At 37.6% G+C, this 17,844-nt stretch overlaps 2 protein-coding genes across 11 annotated transcripts in view, besides 1 other annotated feature; one reads left to right on the top strand and one right to left on the bottom strand.

Moving 5' to 3' along the window:
* Positions 1-4,329, top strand: part of AIDA (axin interactor, dorsalization associated) — a 44,479-nt gene extending 40,150 nt beyond the window's left edge. Inside the window, exons 9-10 of the mRNA NM_022831.4 lie at positions 2,092-2,209; positions 2,353-4,329. Of these exons, the coding sequence (NP_073742.2) occupies positions 2,092-2,209; positions 2,353-2,449 (215 nt within the window). The 3' untranslated portion in view covers positions 2,450-4,329. The remainder of the gene's footprint in view (positions 1-2,091; positions 2,210-2,352) is intronic.
* A 5-nt stretch (positions 4,330-4,334) lies between these two features.
* Positions 4,335-17,844, bottom strand: part of MIA3 (MIA SH3 domain ER export factor 3) — a 49,911-nt gene continuing 36,401 nt past the window's right edge. For 5 of the 10 annotated variants that reach the window (NM_001324064.2, NM_198551.4, NM_001324063.2 and 2 more), the window contains 11 exons: positions 17,549-17,687; positions 13,519-13,620; positions 12,829-12,889; positions 12,685-12,720; positions 12,541-12,608; positions 12,336-12,436; positions 12,028-12,165; positions 10,218-10,286; positions 10,010-10,089; positions 8,194-8,344; positions 4,335-7,033 (listed from right to left, as the gene is read on the bottom strand). In NM_001324064.2, the coding sequence (NP_001310993.1) occupies positions 6,723-7,033; positions 8,194-8,344; positions 10,010-10,089; positions 10,218-10,286; positions 12,028-12,165; positions 12,336-12,436; positions 12,541-12,608; positions 12,685-12,720; positions 12,829-12,889; positions 13,519-13,620; positions 17,549-17,687 (1,256 nt within the window). In that variant the 3' untranslated portion in view covers positions 4,335-6,722. Of the gene's footprint in view, positions 7,034-8,193; positions 8,345-9,812; positions 9,885-10,009; positions 10,090-10,217; positions 10,287-12,027; positions 12,166-12,335; positions 12,437-12,540; positions 12,609-12,684; positions 12,721-12,828; positions 12,890-13,518; positions 14,421-17,548; positions 17,688-17,844 lie in introns of those variants that run through there. The other 5 variants (NM_001324062.2, XM_006711304.5, XM_017001243.3 and 2 more) reach the window with 2 other exon arrangements.
* Positions 17,131-17,370: an enhancer, noted in NCBI's record as "active region_2581". NCBI's record gives its function as "activates an Ori minimal core promoter by ATAC-STARR-seq in GM12878 lymphoblastoid cells {active_cell/tissue: GM12878}" and the evidence as "EXISTENCE:reporter gene assay evidence [ECO:0000049][PMID:35858748]".

Below are 17,844 nucleotides of genomic sequence, written 5' to 3'. Positions count from 1 at the left end.
TGATTTGTTTCATTTCTTTAACTCCATTGCCTTAGGAAATGTTTGTGATGTGGACGGGAGAAGGTGGAGTGTTTCATGGGCTAACTTTTCTATTTTATTACACTGTGTTCTTTCTTAATGGCTCGACTCACTAGATAATAAAAGTAGAACTAGATTCAAAATTTGACTCTATTAATTTTTTCCAGCTTCAAACTTACTGTTTACTGTTACTGTAGTTTTAACTGATATTAGTGTTAATGACCATACTTTCATGTTTACAAACATTTTAACTTAATCTTCCCAGGATATTCCTGTTTCACATTTTGTTCTTTCTTATAAAAAGCATGATGAAGGATGCAGGAAATATATTATTTACAGGTGATACAGATTAATAATTTGTTTAACTTCCTCAAAATGATGGTAACATATTTGAACTTTAGTATTGTTTTGAAACGTGACTTTATCATTCACATTTATTCAGACCTCAAGACACGATCATGAGGAGGAGATGGGTTTCCTAGCAGAAAAGACTCTGCTGTCTTTAAAATCTTTGGTTTTCTAATGACAAAATGCCTCTGAGTGCTGTGGGAGGGAGAAGAGAAGCCACCATTTGTGGAAATGACAAGGTCACACACCTAGGGAAGAGATGTTACCAGTAACCTAACTATTGTAATCCTTTCGAGCGTGTTGGGAGTGGATGGCCAAATATGCCCATCTCTCCCTCACCCACATCCCATTGTCTCCTGAGCAATTGGTTTTTTTTTCCTCCCTTGCCATGTGATGTGGTCCATTTGGACCCAAGTGCCAATGCTGTACACACATTTCTGAACATTGCTAAACTTCTAGTGACTTGTGAGTTTTGTCATCAGCGGCAGTATTAAATGTATGTTGTCTTTGCAAGCCAAGCTCCTGGACTGCTCTGGTTAAGGCAGTATTTAGAAGTAGCTGGTGAAGAGTGAGACACTGACTTCCTTCACTTTCCATGCCTTCTTTAGAAATTCATTTTTGTTGGCCACATTGATGAGGCAACTTATTTCTCCATTTTTAGCTTTTTTCTGCAGGATTGGGGGAAGAGTTTATCTGTTGGACTTTGGGGACATAGGACCGTCTAAATTTCTTATTTTTTTCTTTTTTTGAGACAGAGTCTCACTTTGTCACACAGGCTGGGGCACAGTGGCATGATCATGGCTCACTGCAGCCTCAATCTCCCTGGGCTCAGGCAGTCCTACCAACTCAGCCTCCCGAGTAGCTGGGAGTACAGGCACGTGCCACCGAGCCTGGCTATTTTTAAAATTTTTTTTGTAGAGGTGGGGTCTTACCACCCCCTTGTTGCCCAGGCTGGTCTCAAACTCCTGGGCTCAAGTGATCTGCCCATCTCTGCCTCCCAAAGTGCTGGGATTACAGGCATGAGCCACCGCACCCGGCCAGAACTGTCTAAATTTCTCATTATCACTTGCTCATTGGAGGAGAGTGGCAGAATAAATAGATTTGCTCTTTGAACCTTTGTCTTCTACAGCACTGTCTTGACACAAACATGCAATTCCAGGAAAAACATCACAGCAGTGCTTTGAATACTGAAAAAGGTGTTAAGGAAACAGATAACATTTTCCAGCTGAGCCAGCATGTGATTTATGTTGTTTGAATTCCAAAATACCCCCAAGATTGAATTTTTGAGTTTTTGTTTTGGGGTAAGGGAAACAATTCGAGCTTAAATTTTTTTAGGAACTCTTTTAAATGCATTTTCTACCTAATGAGTCTCTATGTGTATTGAAGTATCTTCTCTGTTCTTCTGTGGCATTTCATATTTTATAGCAGCTTATGATTCTACCTGTGTACATAACTGTTATACATTCTTGAGGCAGTCTAGCTCAAGAAGTTTTGCTATAGTTTGTAGAATTGGATGATAAGGAGAAATGTCACTCTACTCAGATACAGAAGAGTTCGGGGTGACAACCATAGTAAGTTACTGTCAAATCATTGAGACTGGCACAAGTTGTTTTGTCAAATTATGCCAGCTGTAGCTGTTCATATGCTTCTGGTGATCAAAGAAAATTAATTGACACACAAGAAATGTGCTATCTGTGGTTTATGTGGCTTGTTTTAATTCCTTAGGTGCAGCTATCTTCTTTGAATTCAAACACTACAAGCCTAAAAAAAGGTTTACCAGCACCAAGTGTTTTGCTTTCATGGAGATGGATGAAATTAAACCTGGGCCAATTGTAATAGAACTGTAAGTGATGTGCATATAGAATTAGTACTAATTTGATGGTGACTAGTATATCTTTCTTCTGAATCCCCCATATCCAGTATTTAACCTTGAAGAGTTCAGTTATCAATGTATTTTAAACAATGGTCTTTCTGTTGTGATTACAGATACAAGAAACCCACTGACTTTAAAAGAAAGAAATTGCAATTATTGACCAAGAAACCACTTTATCTTCATCTACATCAAACTTTGCACAAGGAATGATCCTGACATGATGAACCTGGAACTTCTGTGAATTTTACCACTCAGTAGAAACCATCATAGCTCTGTGTAGCATATTCACCCTTCAACAGGCAGGAAGCAAGCCGTACCCAGACCAGTAGGCCGGACGGAGTCCAATGCAAAGCTGTACCACAGAATTCAGAGTCCAGCACATCACACTGACGTATAGGACTCCTTGGGATACAGGTTTATTGTAGATTTTGAAACATGTTTTTACTTTTCTATTAATTGTGCAATTAATAGTCTATTTTCTAATTTACCACTACTCCTACCCTGCTTCCTGGAACAATACTGTTGTGGGTAGGATGTGCTCATCTTCAGACTTAATACAGCAATAAGAATGTGCTAGAGTTTACACATCTGTTCACTTTTGCTCCAATATGCTCTTTTGACTTAACGTCAAGCTTTGGGTTGATGTGGGTAGGGTAGTGTCAAACTGCTTTGAGAGGAATGGGACCAGTTCTGCTGCCTAAGAAGGTCTGTCTGGATGTTTATAGGCAGCACCTCTGAAGTGGCCTAAATTCACCCTGATCTGATAGTTTTCCTGCTTAGAAAGTGTGCCTTGGCCAGATCAGTATCCCACATGGGAGTGTTCCCTAGGTTGTAGCTGTGATTGTTTCCAGATGACCAGATTGTTTTTCTGAAAATGAGCATATTTTTAGTCATGTCGATTAGCTGTTCTTCTACATCACATTGTTACTCTTTCTGATGATGATTCTAGGGTTAACATTGGAACCATCTCAAAATAATTACAAAGTTTTAGATGGGTTTACAATGTCTTCTAAACAATGTAATCTAAAAATAATTGAGTCAGATGCTAACGAGATACTGCAGGCATAACTGCTGTTTTTCTGACAACTGATTGTGAAACCTTAAAACCTGCATACCTCTTCTTACAGTGAGGAGTATGCAAAATCTGGAAAGATATTCTATTTTTTTTATATAGGTAGATAGGATCGCCATTTATTTCCTATTTAGATATACTGACATTCATCCATATGAAAATATGCAGGTCATTAGCTTACTATAATTTACTTTTGACTTAATGGGGCATAAATAAAACTTTCATAGTACACATGAGGTGGATATTTGATACACAGAACATTTGCGGTGGGCTTTCTGTGGGTTAGATGTAAAGCCCACATATTTTAATATTCACTATTTTAAATGAGCAATGCATGAGGGGAATGCAGTGTCAGTACCTGGCCTATTTTTAAACTAGTGTAATCACCCTAGTCATACCATTCAGTATGTTTGCTTTTTAAAATAAGTAACCACAACTAAGTTGTTGTAGCCCTTGCACTTCAAGAGATCTAGTCTTTACTTTCAGTTGTCTGTTAGGTCCATTCTGTTTACTAGACGGATGTTAATAAAAACTATGCGAGCCTGAATGAATTCTCAGCCAAATTTAGTCTTGTCTCTCATCTTGATTGGATTAATTCCAAATTCTAAAATGATTCAGTCCACAATAGCTCTAGGGGATGAAGAATTTGCCTTACTTTGCCCAGTTCCTAAGACTGTGAGTTGTCAAATCCCTAGACTGTAAGCTCTTCAAGGAGCAAGAGGCGCATTTTCTCCGTGTCATGTAATTTTTCTAAGGTGCTTGGCAGCACTCTGTACCCTGTGGAGTACTCAGTACCTTTTGTTTGATGTTGCTGACAAGACCTGAAAAAAAATCCCTTAAAAAAAAAACCCATTAAAGTGTAGCAAAACCGATGTATTATTTTTTCTCTTTTCTCATAAACCATAAGATATGTATATCAAAATGATAATTTATATGAAGCATCTGCTATCCTTCACATAAGTATAGTTTATATGAACTACAAATACCTTTCATCAACATTAAAGAAGCTTAAATTGAACACTGTGTGATTAACTTAACTTTAATTCAGACCTGAATATAACGAGAAAATGAGTGATTATCTTGAAGTTGACACAGAATATACCACATCCCACGAATTACTTAAATTTACTTTCCAATGAAAAAAATCAGCCATTGGCGATATAACTACAACAACTATGGCAGAAATGCTTTCAGGCTGAATATTGCTGCTTCATAAATAAGACAATTTTAGCAACTAAATCCAGACACAATTAGTTGGAGATGACTTCCAAAATAGATGAAACTTTAGAGATGGAAAAGTGATTTGGCTGAGGGATGATACTCCCTATGCCATCTGCATATTGGCACCCTGCTTTGGGGTTTGCTGCAGAAATGGTGCAATCAGATGGATGTGAGGAAGCAGTTATGGACTGGCTCACAACTTCTCAGAGAAGCTACACTGGAATCTTTACAGCTTACCAGTTTCTCAATTATGTCAGATACAGAATAATCACCAAAAAAGGCTTTAGAGGGGAAAAATACTCTAATATTTTGAATTTTAAAAATAGATTTAATTTACCTTTCCTACTTACCTTCCTAGATGGCATAATCTACACTTAAATGACATTTAAAATTAGAAATTATATTAACTTCAGCATTGTTTTGTGTCCTAAAGAGATATTGACAGGTAAATTCAAAAGTTGTATTTGTGACTTAATCTTATTTTTACATGGCTAAAAGTGGCCTATGCTCTTCTGTGGAGTTTTCCTCTTAATTTCTTCTATTCTTGATATTAAACGGGAGGACATATAGATTGAATTCTCTTTTCCTGAAGAATTTTTATATTCCTTATGAACTTTGACAGAGTTGTCTTCTTTCAAAGGTCCTTATCTTTCTAAACTATCTATCTTCAGTTGTTTAGTATAAAGAGAGAAAATTGTTTCACATTGAAGCTTTTGCTCCTTTTTACAAGGTATTCTTAATCGATTAAATATCACAACAGTGACAAGACATACACTAGGTTTCAAAAATATTACATCATAGGACTTCAAAGAATGGAAGAATATAGCCTAGCAGCAAACAAAAGTATCAGCCTTTTATGATTTTAGTTTTAGTGTGGATCTGAAACTCCTTAAAAGGAGTGCTATTATTACTGTAATTAAAATGTCTGAAGTTCGTTCTTAGAAACGTTGTAGAGTATTTAAAGAAACATTGTTTTAAAGACAGTGTAGTAATGGATAAGACTTTAAGTATGGTGCAATTCCAGATGGTTAGTTACTGATTTTTAAATAAAAACACCAACGTTTAAATATTAATTAATATTAATTTTGGAATAATATCTGTCGCCCCCATTTCCCCCTAAAACAGAACTGATTTCAACCCTTGGTTGCTGACCTAGGGCATGTTATAACCCTCACAGTCCTAAATCATTCTTTCTCATGGCATTATACTCTTCCAATCTTTTTATTATATTCCTCAAAAATCAGTGGCAAGGAATGGGAAAGATAGATAAGGGACTGTACATTTTAAAATTTTTAAAGATTTCTATACTTTTATGGCCATGACACATCATTTTCATTTTTCTGTTGTGCACCCTTTTTCTACAGGAATGGTAAAAACAATGGAACATCAGGTCAAACAACTCTTGCTACTAATGTAAACTCACTCTCAGAAAACCATTCTCAAATAGACAATGAGGATCGTAAAGAAAGCATGTGAATGCTATACAAGTGGGAAATAAACTTCTTTGAAATAAAAAGACGTCACTTGTAGAGTTCACAGGTGACGGAGGAGCAGCCGGAAGTGTGCCACCAGCCACCATCTTCAGTTCTGGGAGCCTGAGTTTACATGTTCCCCAAATGGCACAAGCCTCATAACAGTCCAATGAGTCAACAGACACTTGGGAAATATTAATAAACAAATTTTTATGAGCTATTACTACAAAGAACTTCAGCAAGAGGGGAGATAGTTTAGTGATCTTTTAGTAAACATTTTTAGCGTAACAGTCTTTGTGACCAGATAGTTTAAAAAAACGCTTATAAACACCATTGCTCCGTATTCAGCTGGTGTACACTAAAAATAGGATAATGGAAATACATGTTCTTAAAGCATTTCCACAGGAAATGTTCATATTTTTCATGACATTCTAAATCATTTTGCAATTACATATGCTACATTAGCTAAAACACAGGTATTCTTTATTGCACATTTCAAAGTTGTAAGGACGCTCTAGCTTAAAAGGTGATTTTTATTTAGGGAAGAAATGACATTTTTGAATTGTTTGGCTCAAAAATGCACACTGCCAAGGCAGCTTAGTTCTAACAACAAACCTTTTAAAATAAACTTTTGGATTTTGAAGCCAATGAAATCCTTTACTGTAATGGATAATGCACAGTACACTTTCTTTCCAATGAAACCTCAGAGGTCATAGTTTTATGGGCTCTGTTTTAAAGCCTGTGAACAGTCCTGGCTAGTGCTCTGAGAGGCAGGTGGAGGCTCATCTCTAGAGCCTGACGGCAGTAAGTCTCTTACAGCAGGTGGTGGTGGGTATTCCTGGGGACCATGGGTTGGGGGTGGTAATCGGGTACCAGGAATAAAGTACTCTCTTGGGCCAAGTGAACCTAAAGGTCTAAATGGTGCGTGTCCAGGTAAAAATCCCCGAGGGTGGAGAGGCAGGTCCCGTCTTCCTGGTGGAACGCCTGGTGCAAATTCTCTTAAGCCTAGTGGTGGACGCATACCAGGGCCTGGAAAACAAAAATTATTTCCAGTAAATTCCTAGGAACGTATTTAAATTAAGATAATGCCAGGTATGTTAATATAGTCTGTCATCCTTTTTTTTTTTTTTTTTTTTTTTTGGCGGCAGGGTCTTGCCTGTCACATGGGCTGGAGTGTAATGAGTGATCATGGCTCACTGCAGCCTCAATCTCCCGGACTCAATCAATCCTCCCACCTCAGACTCCCCAGTAGCTGGGACTACAGGTGCACGCCACCACTCCCAGCTAATTTTTGGATTTTTTGTAGAGATGGGGGTTTCACCATGTTGCCCAGGCTGGTCTCAAACTCCTAGGCTCAAGGGATCCACCTGCCTCAGCCTCGTCTAATGAATGCTGGGATTCATAAAGTGCTGGGATTACAGGCGTGAGCCACTGTGCCTGGCCTGCCATCTTTATCTGAAAAAGAGAGATAGATTTGTACTTGGAAGTACTATATACCATACCAAGAAGACAGACTAAATATGGCTTCATTGCAATAAAAATTTTGATAAATTCCATTAACTACTGTGTATCAGTTAAAAATTTATGCAGTAGCTCAAGATGTACCTAATAAATGCCATAAAAATTAAGGTGCTTGCCCTGCTGGAAAAGGCTTTCCAGCTCCATCTAATTAAATTCAGCAGCATTCATTAGATAGCTGTTAAATTCTACCTTCTCTTTCATATCTCCCTTCTTTGTATTCCCAAGGTGAGGGTTGAGGGTTTTGTCTTTCCTTAATATTCTGTGACCTACTGCTTATGCTTCCATTATGGGTGATTAGAAGCTTTATGTTGTAGAATGTGTATATTTGTGACCTACAGGACATCTTAGTTAGGGGATGTATTTTATCTACCTTGCTATCCATTGCAGAGCCTAGTACACAGCCACAGATGTTCAATGTGATGAATATTTCTGGCTTTTTATAAATAGCCCCTTTCCTTGTTCTATTAGAGACAACTATTGCCCATCTAATCACAGGAGATTATGTAGCACCCTTTGTGTCTGAAGAAACTTGGGGAAAAGTTACGGTGTACTCAATCAGCTTCACTGCTGCATTGCAAAGCCCCGCAATTGCAGTTGTTTTAGCAAGGGATAGATGGAGAAGATGAATGTGCTTTACAAGTCAATTACTACTGTTCAGATCATCTTACCAAAGGGTGGAGGAAGTGGCCGAGGCCCAAAAGGTCCGCAGAGCTGAGGTGGTGGTCCATATCGAATGGGTGGTGGTACAGGGCCTCCCATGGGGGTGCTCATGAGAGGGACTCCTGGGAAAGGAGGGGGCCCTTTTGGAGCCATATTAACCTGCAGAGTAGAAACAATTGAAGTTTTGAAATACTATGGTATGACAGACAAAAGCACCAACACCAGTAAAAACTAAAACCCAATGAAGCAGATGTCAGGCACTTGTCCAAAGAGCAGAATTAGTGCAAAAAACTCTACCCCTCTCATTTGTTCCCACTGACAAGCTTAGAAAGGTTAAAAGTATGCCACAGGAGTGAACACTTGCTGTATCATATTATTGCTTACATCTGCAAATGGAAGGGAACGCACAGGTTATAAATGGAGGTCATTCCTGACTAATGATAGAAGTTACGCCATTCATACATCTATTTCTAAGGCAGTCACTCCCTCTGCACATCCCTCCTATCAGAGTAATTTCCATATTAAGAATGCAGAGAATGAAAGGGAATGAAAAATCCATTCTCTACCATGTAACAGCGATTATTCAGAGTACCTTCTGTAGGCCCTACATATATTAACACAAATTCTGACATCTCTAAATCTGTAATAGGACCATCTTGTTCTAAATATGCAGGAACACAGGCGCAGAGAGTATTAGATTTGCTGATGGTCACACAGCATGTAAGAGGCTGGCTGGAATTCCATGCCAGGTTTGACTCCAAGGCCACGTTCTTTCCACCTCTGCTTCTCCTTTCTAACAAAGTAGTCTCTACACTCTTCGAAGTCTCCTACTTCAAAGGGGTCTCGGGTCTTATCCAAGCTGCTCTTGGATAAAAACATTTCTCAAGAAATGTGTATTCCTGGAGTCCTGTGCTGGAACTTGGAAGTATTTTCCAAGAGAAACAATGTTATGTACACAAATTATACAGGCACAGCTCTATTCATCTTCATTCACTAGTAATACTGTCTACTATGAGATACTGATTAATCACTTCCTATGGGAAAGTGGGTTGGAAACTCTCAATCATTAAAATTATTTTAATTTCAATGTCGAGAATCACAGTGAGGTATGATCAGAGGACTTACCAGCCATAACAGCTATACAAGTTACAAGAGAATACACTTATGTGGACACTGTTTAAGGACACTGCTGGGAACTGGCTCAACGGGTAATTATAGACTTCCACTATTCAGTATTTCACTTCCAGCAAACATTCTTCTGTTATCAATCTGTAATTTCAGATCATTCAAAATAGGGTTTGCCTAGTATACAACTGTAGGTATTCTTAAATAGCACACTTCCAAATGAAGACATAATAATGAATTACACAATTTACAATGAATTTACTTTGCCTAAGAGCATTAAACACTGAGACACACAAGAGTGGGGACTTTTCACTTTTGTTTAAGTTAATTACAGTTACAGCAGATGCTCTACACAGGTTAAATGTCTAACCAAACAGGAGAGAGGAGAAAAGGCCAATGAATCCGTCAGATTTCAGCAACACTCCCAAGTCAAGGATAAAAGTAAGATCAATATTGCCATGCAACTTATAGCCCAGTTCAGTCCACACTTCTAAGTACTTACTGCTACTGGACGCTCAGCCAAAGATGTAATGCTGGGAACTGAGGGGACTTCAGGCTCTTGGAGAACAGTTTGCTTTTTTAAAAAATAAATGAGATAGTACAGATAGAACACACAAATAGGAGATGAGGCAAAGAGAGAGTTGTAGGAAGAGCTAAATGTTCCTGAAATAACTAATTATTCAAAATGGGTGCATTTACCTTGCCTTCATCGAGTACCCTGGTAGGGGAAGAGCCTCTTGAGCTGCTGTTCATCATGGTAGCTGTACCAGATCCTGGATCTGTTAAAGACCAGAGAACTGATGTAGACTTATTCTGACTTGTGTACTCTGTGAGGAGGATTAAAAAAAAAATCCTCTCCCCACTTCCTGCATGGTTTTAGACTCTTTGAACACTCTTGCTCCCTTACCAGAAGGAGAGGGTTTCCCAGATGCCTCAGCTGACCATCGAGGATGAGGTAGAGGCCCGTCCACTGATCCTTGAGAAAGAAATAACAGAGTCCTTATATGTATTTTTTGGAAGAAATAATAAATTGTGGACAGATCAGGGTTCAAGTCTTATCTGGAAAGCAACATTAAAAATGGGTCTCCCAATATTTATGAAGGGAAATCACTTACAATTTATGCACGGACTTAAAGAATTAAAATAAGAACTGCCTTGCACTGAAAGAACAATAAACCCTGCACATTAATGGCTCTGGTTCTATACTTCAAGCTACAGACTTACATGTACAGTATTCTACATGGTGATTTTTGTTCAGTGTATATGTAATCTGACTTCCGTATCTTACTGAGTATTATAGACATATTTAGGATTCAAAATAGACTCAACAGCGTTTCATACTATATAGTAATGACAAGTGGAAACATGTATGCCGCATAAACGATAAAGTTATTAAGGCTACTTTTATAATACAGTTGACTCGAACAATGCAGGGGTTAGGTGTGCTGATCCCCTGCGCAGTCAAAAATCCACGTGTAACTTTTGACTCCCCAAAACCTACCTACTAGTAAATAGCCTACTATTGACCAGAAGCCTTACCAATAACATAAACAGTTAACACATATTCTGTATATATATTGTATACTGTATTCTTTAATAAAGTAAGCTAAAGAAAATGTTATTGAAATCATAAGGAAGAGGAAATGTATTTATAACACTGTATTGTATTTGTACTGTACGTGTACATGGTCTGTTTACAAGATGAATCGTCTGACTGAAATGACTGCTGCTGCACACTCCAAACTATGGTATATATCAAAGCAATTCAACTTTTTCTAGTAGTGTCATGACTTTGCTTCTTGAGAATACTTCCAGCATCACTAGTGGCATTTTATATGGGTCCCATGGTGTTATTCAAGGTTTATGTTATTGCACTAAACATGAAAAATACACAAGAACCATGAGAGATTATGTTTACTGTGATACACAATTTACTGGAGAGATGAACTGCCCACATGCAGATTAACATCACACGGTGTTTTAAGCGGATACTCACAACACTTGAGCTCACTGCAATAGCAACAGGAGGTGGTTATGAAATTATTGTAGTACTACAGTATGTACTACAGCTAATCTTATGCATTTATGATTTAAAACTGCATCTTTACATGTGTTTACTTTTTCCCAATTGTGAATGGTGTCATGTACATCTGTGCTTGTGCAAGTTTTGATAAATTTTAACTTTTTAAAATAGATCTTTGTATATTTTCCAATAGTTTATAACACAAACTAGTATCTACATATATTTTATGCATTCACGACATACATAAATTTTTCTTAATTTTTTTATATTTCTAGGCTATGTGGTTCATCTGCAAGTTCTTTCAAATTATTGCAAAGCTCCAAAAAATTTCCCAAAATATTTTTTGAAAAAAATCTGCATAGAAGTGGACCTGCACAGACCAAACTTGTGTTGTTCAAGGGTCAGCTGTATTTGGGAGAGGAATCCCACAGAACTTTAATTGAAAGATAAGGGCTTACACTTCAGAGTAAAAAATTAAAGAGAAACAAAACAATAAAGGAAAATAATAAATGCCTTCTGTTCTAAAGCAAATCTTGCAGTTGAATACTTGCAGTTGAATCCACCAAGACAAATTAAGAAATTTTCTTTTCTATACTGGACAGACCCGAATTCTAAAGTGTTTGCATTAGAATTCTCAAATAAAAGGGAAAAAGCCACCCAAAAGAGTATTGCAAGGAAACATGTGAATGCTCACCAAATTCACTTCTAGGCATATCTCTTCGATTGAGAGTAGCAGAGAGAGGTCTCACGGGTGGCTCCACTGTCAATGGAGGGGAGCATTCTCCACCACTCACAGGGGATGGGCCAAAAGAGCCATTCTGGCTCAGAGGACCTAAAGATGACAGCATCTTGTTAGCATTTTAAGACAGCCTTTTTTTCTTTATTCAGTTCTTGGGATTATTCCTAGGGTACCATAACCATTACACACAGAAACAAAAAGTCACTTATATACATTTTACATCAAAAAACAGATTGTTGCCCTTTACAAGGTAGCTCCCTTACCTCTCCGTGGAGGGTTTTGTGTATTTGGTTTTCCTGGCATTGGTTTTACAATCACAGGTTCTTCTTGCAGCATTGCCATCTTTTGTGTTAATTCTAATAATCTTGAATATAGAGAAAGAATATTTAAGAAAGAGTTAAATATGAAATAGAAACCAATTCCTTAAGAGAACACGCGCTGAAAATATAGCCATCAAAATCCACATACTTGTGTCTCAAATTGGCAGCTTCCCTTTTCTCTTCAGCTATAGCTCTTTCTGCAGCACGAGCTTTGAGCTATTGAAGAAAAATATCCAAATTCAGTTGTGGGAGACTATGCACAAAATAAGGGAAAGAAAAAAAGAAATCTTACCCAGTTTTCATGAGCTTTCTTCTCATGGGTAGCGATCTGAAAAAGATAATACATCACAAAATATGCATACAGATTCATTATAATAGCCTCTATTAGTTATCAAAGAATTCCGGGCACTATATAGTAGGGCACTAGAATTATTACCTGGTTTTTAAATGACCGCTCTGTCTTCTGTAATTCATCCTCCATTTCTTCAATTCTCCGCCTAAGAATTACACTTGGCTTTATCATTTAAAGCACAACTGAATAAAAACCCAAACAATCTGACTATGTTAACCGTTACCCTAACAACTGTACCCTAATAGAGCTTATCCAGAAATATAAAGCATATTTTACATGGTTGGTTATAACAAAAGTACAATATGATGAAAACTAATGATACATAATTTCCTTTAACAGCTGGAGATTGAGTTGATATATTACAATTCCTTTAACTGTTCCTAAATATGTTCTCAAATAATCCTATTATTAATATCTTCCACTATAAACCTTTTTTCATCCTTTAATTACATCATAAAAATTTTCCCAAAGTTAGGACTACTGGGTCTATCAAATGGCAAAATCACTTTAATGGCTTTTGATACATCATATAACAAACTGCTCCCACCCCCTCCAACCCCCAGAACTGTTTGCACGAATCAAGTTCCCTTACAGTTTTGCCAGCACTGGGTATTTGTTAATATTTTTCCATTTGTTAACTTAAAATTTAGTTTTTCTTTTGTGTGAATTGATGTATTCATGTCCTCTAACCACTTATTTATGCTTTTGTGCTAATAAAAAAAGCCAACACTAGTTTCATTAGCCACTGATACCCTCTTTAGGAGGTGAACTTACTTGTAAGTTTTTACTTCCTCTGCAGCCGAAACTGCCTTTTCATCTGCAGCTGACAGCCTGTGCTCTCTTTCTTGCCGTTCATACTCTTCTTGACTCAGTTTCCTAAGATAAAACTGGTTGTCAATGAAAGTGTTTCTCTTTTCCTCCTGGCATTCTGTCTGAATACTCCAATAAAATCTCACTTCCTATCCTATTCTTAAAAATGCATAGATTATACAAAGTCACAGGAAGGAAATAAAACTGTCCTTTAGGATAAAAATCCAACTGTGGCCTGTTGATACATCACCTGCATTTTCTAACGTCTCATAATTCTCTCCTCACTAGTAAATGAAACAAATGTGAAAAAACACTATGTGTCAAAGACTGTTGGGTTGAAATGATGCTCACTTTTCTTCAATGTAGAAAGCCAGGACTGATCAACCTAACACAGTTAAGCTTATTAGGATGATGCAGGAGATAATTCTCTTATTTCTAACCATGGAAAGACCACTAATTAATTTTCTTATGGGCTGTTTCTCAATCCAAGGCTGGTACCATGATAAAGACAGCCAATGAAAGAGCTTTTTAGAACATGTCCTTAACTGTACAATTAACCCCAGAACATTTTCACACTTCAGATATGGAGCTCCCCTACCTATTTCAATGGAATCATGATAAAGCAGCGAGACAAATCCGAGTACTGGCAATGTCTGTTGAACAGAAAAAGAATCCAAACTGTCCTGTAATCAGGGTGCTATGTACTGGAAATTGGTTTTAACCTGATAACCTTCAAGCTCAAGAGGTTAGCCAACTATAACACAGATTGTAAAGGCAGCAACATTTAATGGTTTAAAAGTGCTACTTGTAGTTACCCTTGTACTTCTTTACTCATAGTTCTGATGCAAAAGATACTTGCAAATTTTCTATAAATTGGAAACAAAAATAGAGGAGCTATAGTAAAAAGGGTTATTAACACCAAAGAGAAAAAAGTTTATGTATTCTTTTACAACTGCTCATTCAATAAATACTTCAGCAAATATTTTATGAGTGGTTATACTAATTACCTTGTAAGAGACTAAGATAAAGGTATGGCTATGGTAAGTACCACCTCTGCACTAATGGAGCTCACAGCTGAATGTGTAAAAGGTGCATATAAGAACAGAACAATCCCTCTCTGACTCTGGCTTAGGAAGGGATGTGGAAAAAACAAGTCTTGAAGAAGGATTCAAGAGAATTTTGTTTCCAATAATGGATGAGTTAGTCTGCAAACACTGAAAATAAGAACATATGGACAAAAATAGAAAGAATGTGCTCGAAGGCATCAGAAAGCTAATAAGGCAGTGAAGAAAATCCAGTAGGAAAAAACACAGAATTATAAGTAAGCCCGGCATTTTAAGCCATTTCCCCCCAGGTTCATCCATGCATTGAAGACAATGCAGATATGTAAGAAGGTTGAAAAGAACTTTCAACAGATCCCTGGGTTGAGAGAAACAAGAAGCGGAGGGAGTTCAGGGCTGCCAATGAGAAGGACCCCTAGTAAAAGCCCTAGGCTTTGGGTTGAGACCAGAAAAGAGCTGCACACTTGGAGTATTGAACAGGCAATAAATACAATGTCCTTTAAAGGAACTAAGCCATTTTTGAATGATTTTAATTGCTAACTGGAATAAAGTAATGACCACCTGCTAGAGGTAATCTCATATCTTTTATGTAGGATGATAACATCATCTTAGACCTCAAATTTCCCCTACAATTTTCAAAAACAATGTTCACCACTCCATCAAAACCAACCAGACATTCCACAAGACAAGACAATGTAATCACAATCTAGAAGACCAGAGAAACACACTCATAAGGGATCCACATAATAGGATTACCACATAGATTTTAAAGCAATTGTGCCTTACAAATTGAAGGAAGTACAAGTCAAGATTACACATTTCAGCAGAGGATTAGAAACTATAAAAGTGAAAAATAGTGAAACCAAAAAGAACTCAATGATTTTAGCAGATTAGACAACTGAGGTGAGATTTTTAGCACATTGGAAGATAGGTCAGAAGAAAACATCCAGAATGAAGCATATTCAGAATGTAGGAGGCATTGGGCGAGGGGTAGGGGTGGGAGATCCTAGTATGTTGAATTGGATTCTCAGGACAAGTGAGAATAAGATAGAATTAATATGTGAAAAAAGAGGCTCCAAACTCAAGAGATGTTTATAACCTCAAGCAGTATAAATGCAAAAGAAAAAGCAGGAGGGTAGGGTGGAAGGGTGATGACAAAACCCTACATGTAGGCACCTCCCAAGAAAACTGCTGAAAAACCAAAAAGAAAATGACGAAAGGCAGCTAGGGCAGGCATAAAACATTTGAAAAAAGAGAAAAGAGAAAATAAGAATGATAATAGATTCCTCAAAGAAACTTTAAAACTAGAGGATAACTGGTTATCTTTAAAGTGCTGATACTAAACAACTATCGAAATTCCAGAACCAGCAGAAAGATCCTTTTAAAATGGAGTCAAACTAAAGACATTTTCATACAAAAGTAAACTCACTGAACCTGCATTAAAGTATATTCTTTGGCCGGGCGCGGTGGCTCACACCTGTAATCCCAGCACTTTGGGAGGCCGAGGCGGGTGGATCACGAGGTCAGGAGATTGAGACCATCCTGGCTAACACAGGTGAAACCCCATCTCTACTAAAAATACAAAAAAAATTAGCCGGGCATGGTGGCGGGCGCCTGTAGTCCCAGCTACTCGGGAGACTGAGGCAGGAGAATGGCATGAACCTGGGAGGCGGAGCTTGCAGTAAGCTGAGACCACGCCACTGCACTCCAGCCTGGGCGGCAGAGTGAGACTCTGTCTCAAAAAAAAAAAAAAAAAAAAAAAAGGGAAAGAAAGTCTGGAGATACGTGATTAGCTAGGGGACTGGCATAAAAGATGACAAGGGCCTGAATTAACACAGTGACTTTAGGGGTGGACAGTAGAGTACAAACCACACATGGAGACTGAATGAATTTTGGGGAAGTTGAATAAAACACTGCCACATCAATGGGTTAACTGTATCACGAAGAAAAACAGTTGCCATTTACGTAATTCACATTACTATTGGAGGCAGAGAAGTGCTCTTTTTTAAAAAGTAATGAAATGAGGAATGTCTCTCTGAAGCAGGACAGGCATTTATTTAGAGCTGGCCTGAACAAAACCTGGAAAATCTAAACTGGCTGCCTGGTGAGCAAAGAATTAGAGAAAAAGTTAATGGTATGGTTTCAATATTTAATGGCATACAGCAGTAGCAGTCTAAGCATTTAAAAAAGTTAAATTTGCTTAGCAAGAGAGGCCTCCTCACACACTGCCATATACACCAAAGAGTAAAACATAAGAGCAAACACAAATAGCAACTGCCACAGATAACCTATTTTTAGAGAATTCAGATGTTTTTGTGGACAAAAAACTTGAACTATAAAAATATACCTCTCAAAAGGTACCTCGCTCGAAATTTGAGATATGTATTTCAGAGGATTATTATCTAAATATACACACCAAATAGTTCTACATTCAAAACTCCTAATATCTTTGCCACAATTATGTTTAGTTTGAATATTTTACTCTGTGAAGTCCAAAACTAAATGTACCTTCAATAAGTAAATTTTCCTTTTTTGAAGTTTTTATTCTACTAAAACACGTCATACAAATCCCTCAGACTGTTTAAAGGAAATTACATAATTGACCACAAAGAAAGGAAAGTGAAACAAGTGGCGGAGCCACAGACAAGGCATGGCCAGATCTTCAAAAGAGAAGCACTCCCACAGCAGCGACCGTCAGTACCAGTACACTGCTCCCCCTTAAGTGAGTTACAGGCAACAGTTTTTGACTACTGGTTAGAAAGGAAAGAAAAATGCAGCTTATGAGAAACAAAGCAGAAAGAAAGAAAGACAAATTTATACTAATTACAGATGCAAAAGAGTACAATCCTGAAAAACGATAACATTATCTATATTAGTACACATTTATTTACTGACATGACAATACAGTTAACAGTAAATGATGATAATCTTACTTTTGCAAAGCCATCTCCTTCTGCTGATAGAGCTCATTCAGAATCTCCACTTTCTGCCTCAAGGTTTTGCATTCATCTTCCAGTCCAGCTTTGGCAGCTTGTAGTGAGTTGCGGTCATCTTCCAATTTCTTTACCTGGTCTGTAAAGGATAAAACATTTGAGTTCCATATGTGTGCACAAGAACTTGAGAACTTGGTTGGGGGCTGGTGCTGAGAGAAATGAGAAGTATGAAAGCAGGAAGCCGCTCTTTATCTTTCTAATGCAATTTTGTATCTTTCCAATATATAGCAATTTCT

Source organism: Homo sapiens, chromosome 1 (genome assembly GCF_000001405.40).
Source record: "Homo sapiens chromosome 1, GRCh38.p14 Primary Assembly".
Taxonomy (NCBI): Eukaryota; Metazoa; Chordata; class Mammalia; order Primates; family Hominidae; genus Homo; species Homo sapiens.
The sequence above is the reverse complement of the archived record's forward strand: the minus strand, read 5'-3'. Positions and strand labels throughout refer to the sequence as shown.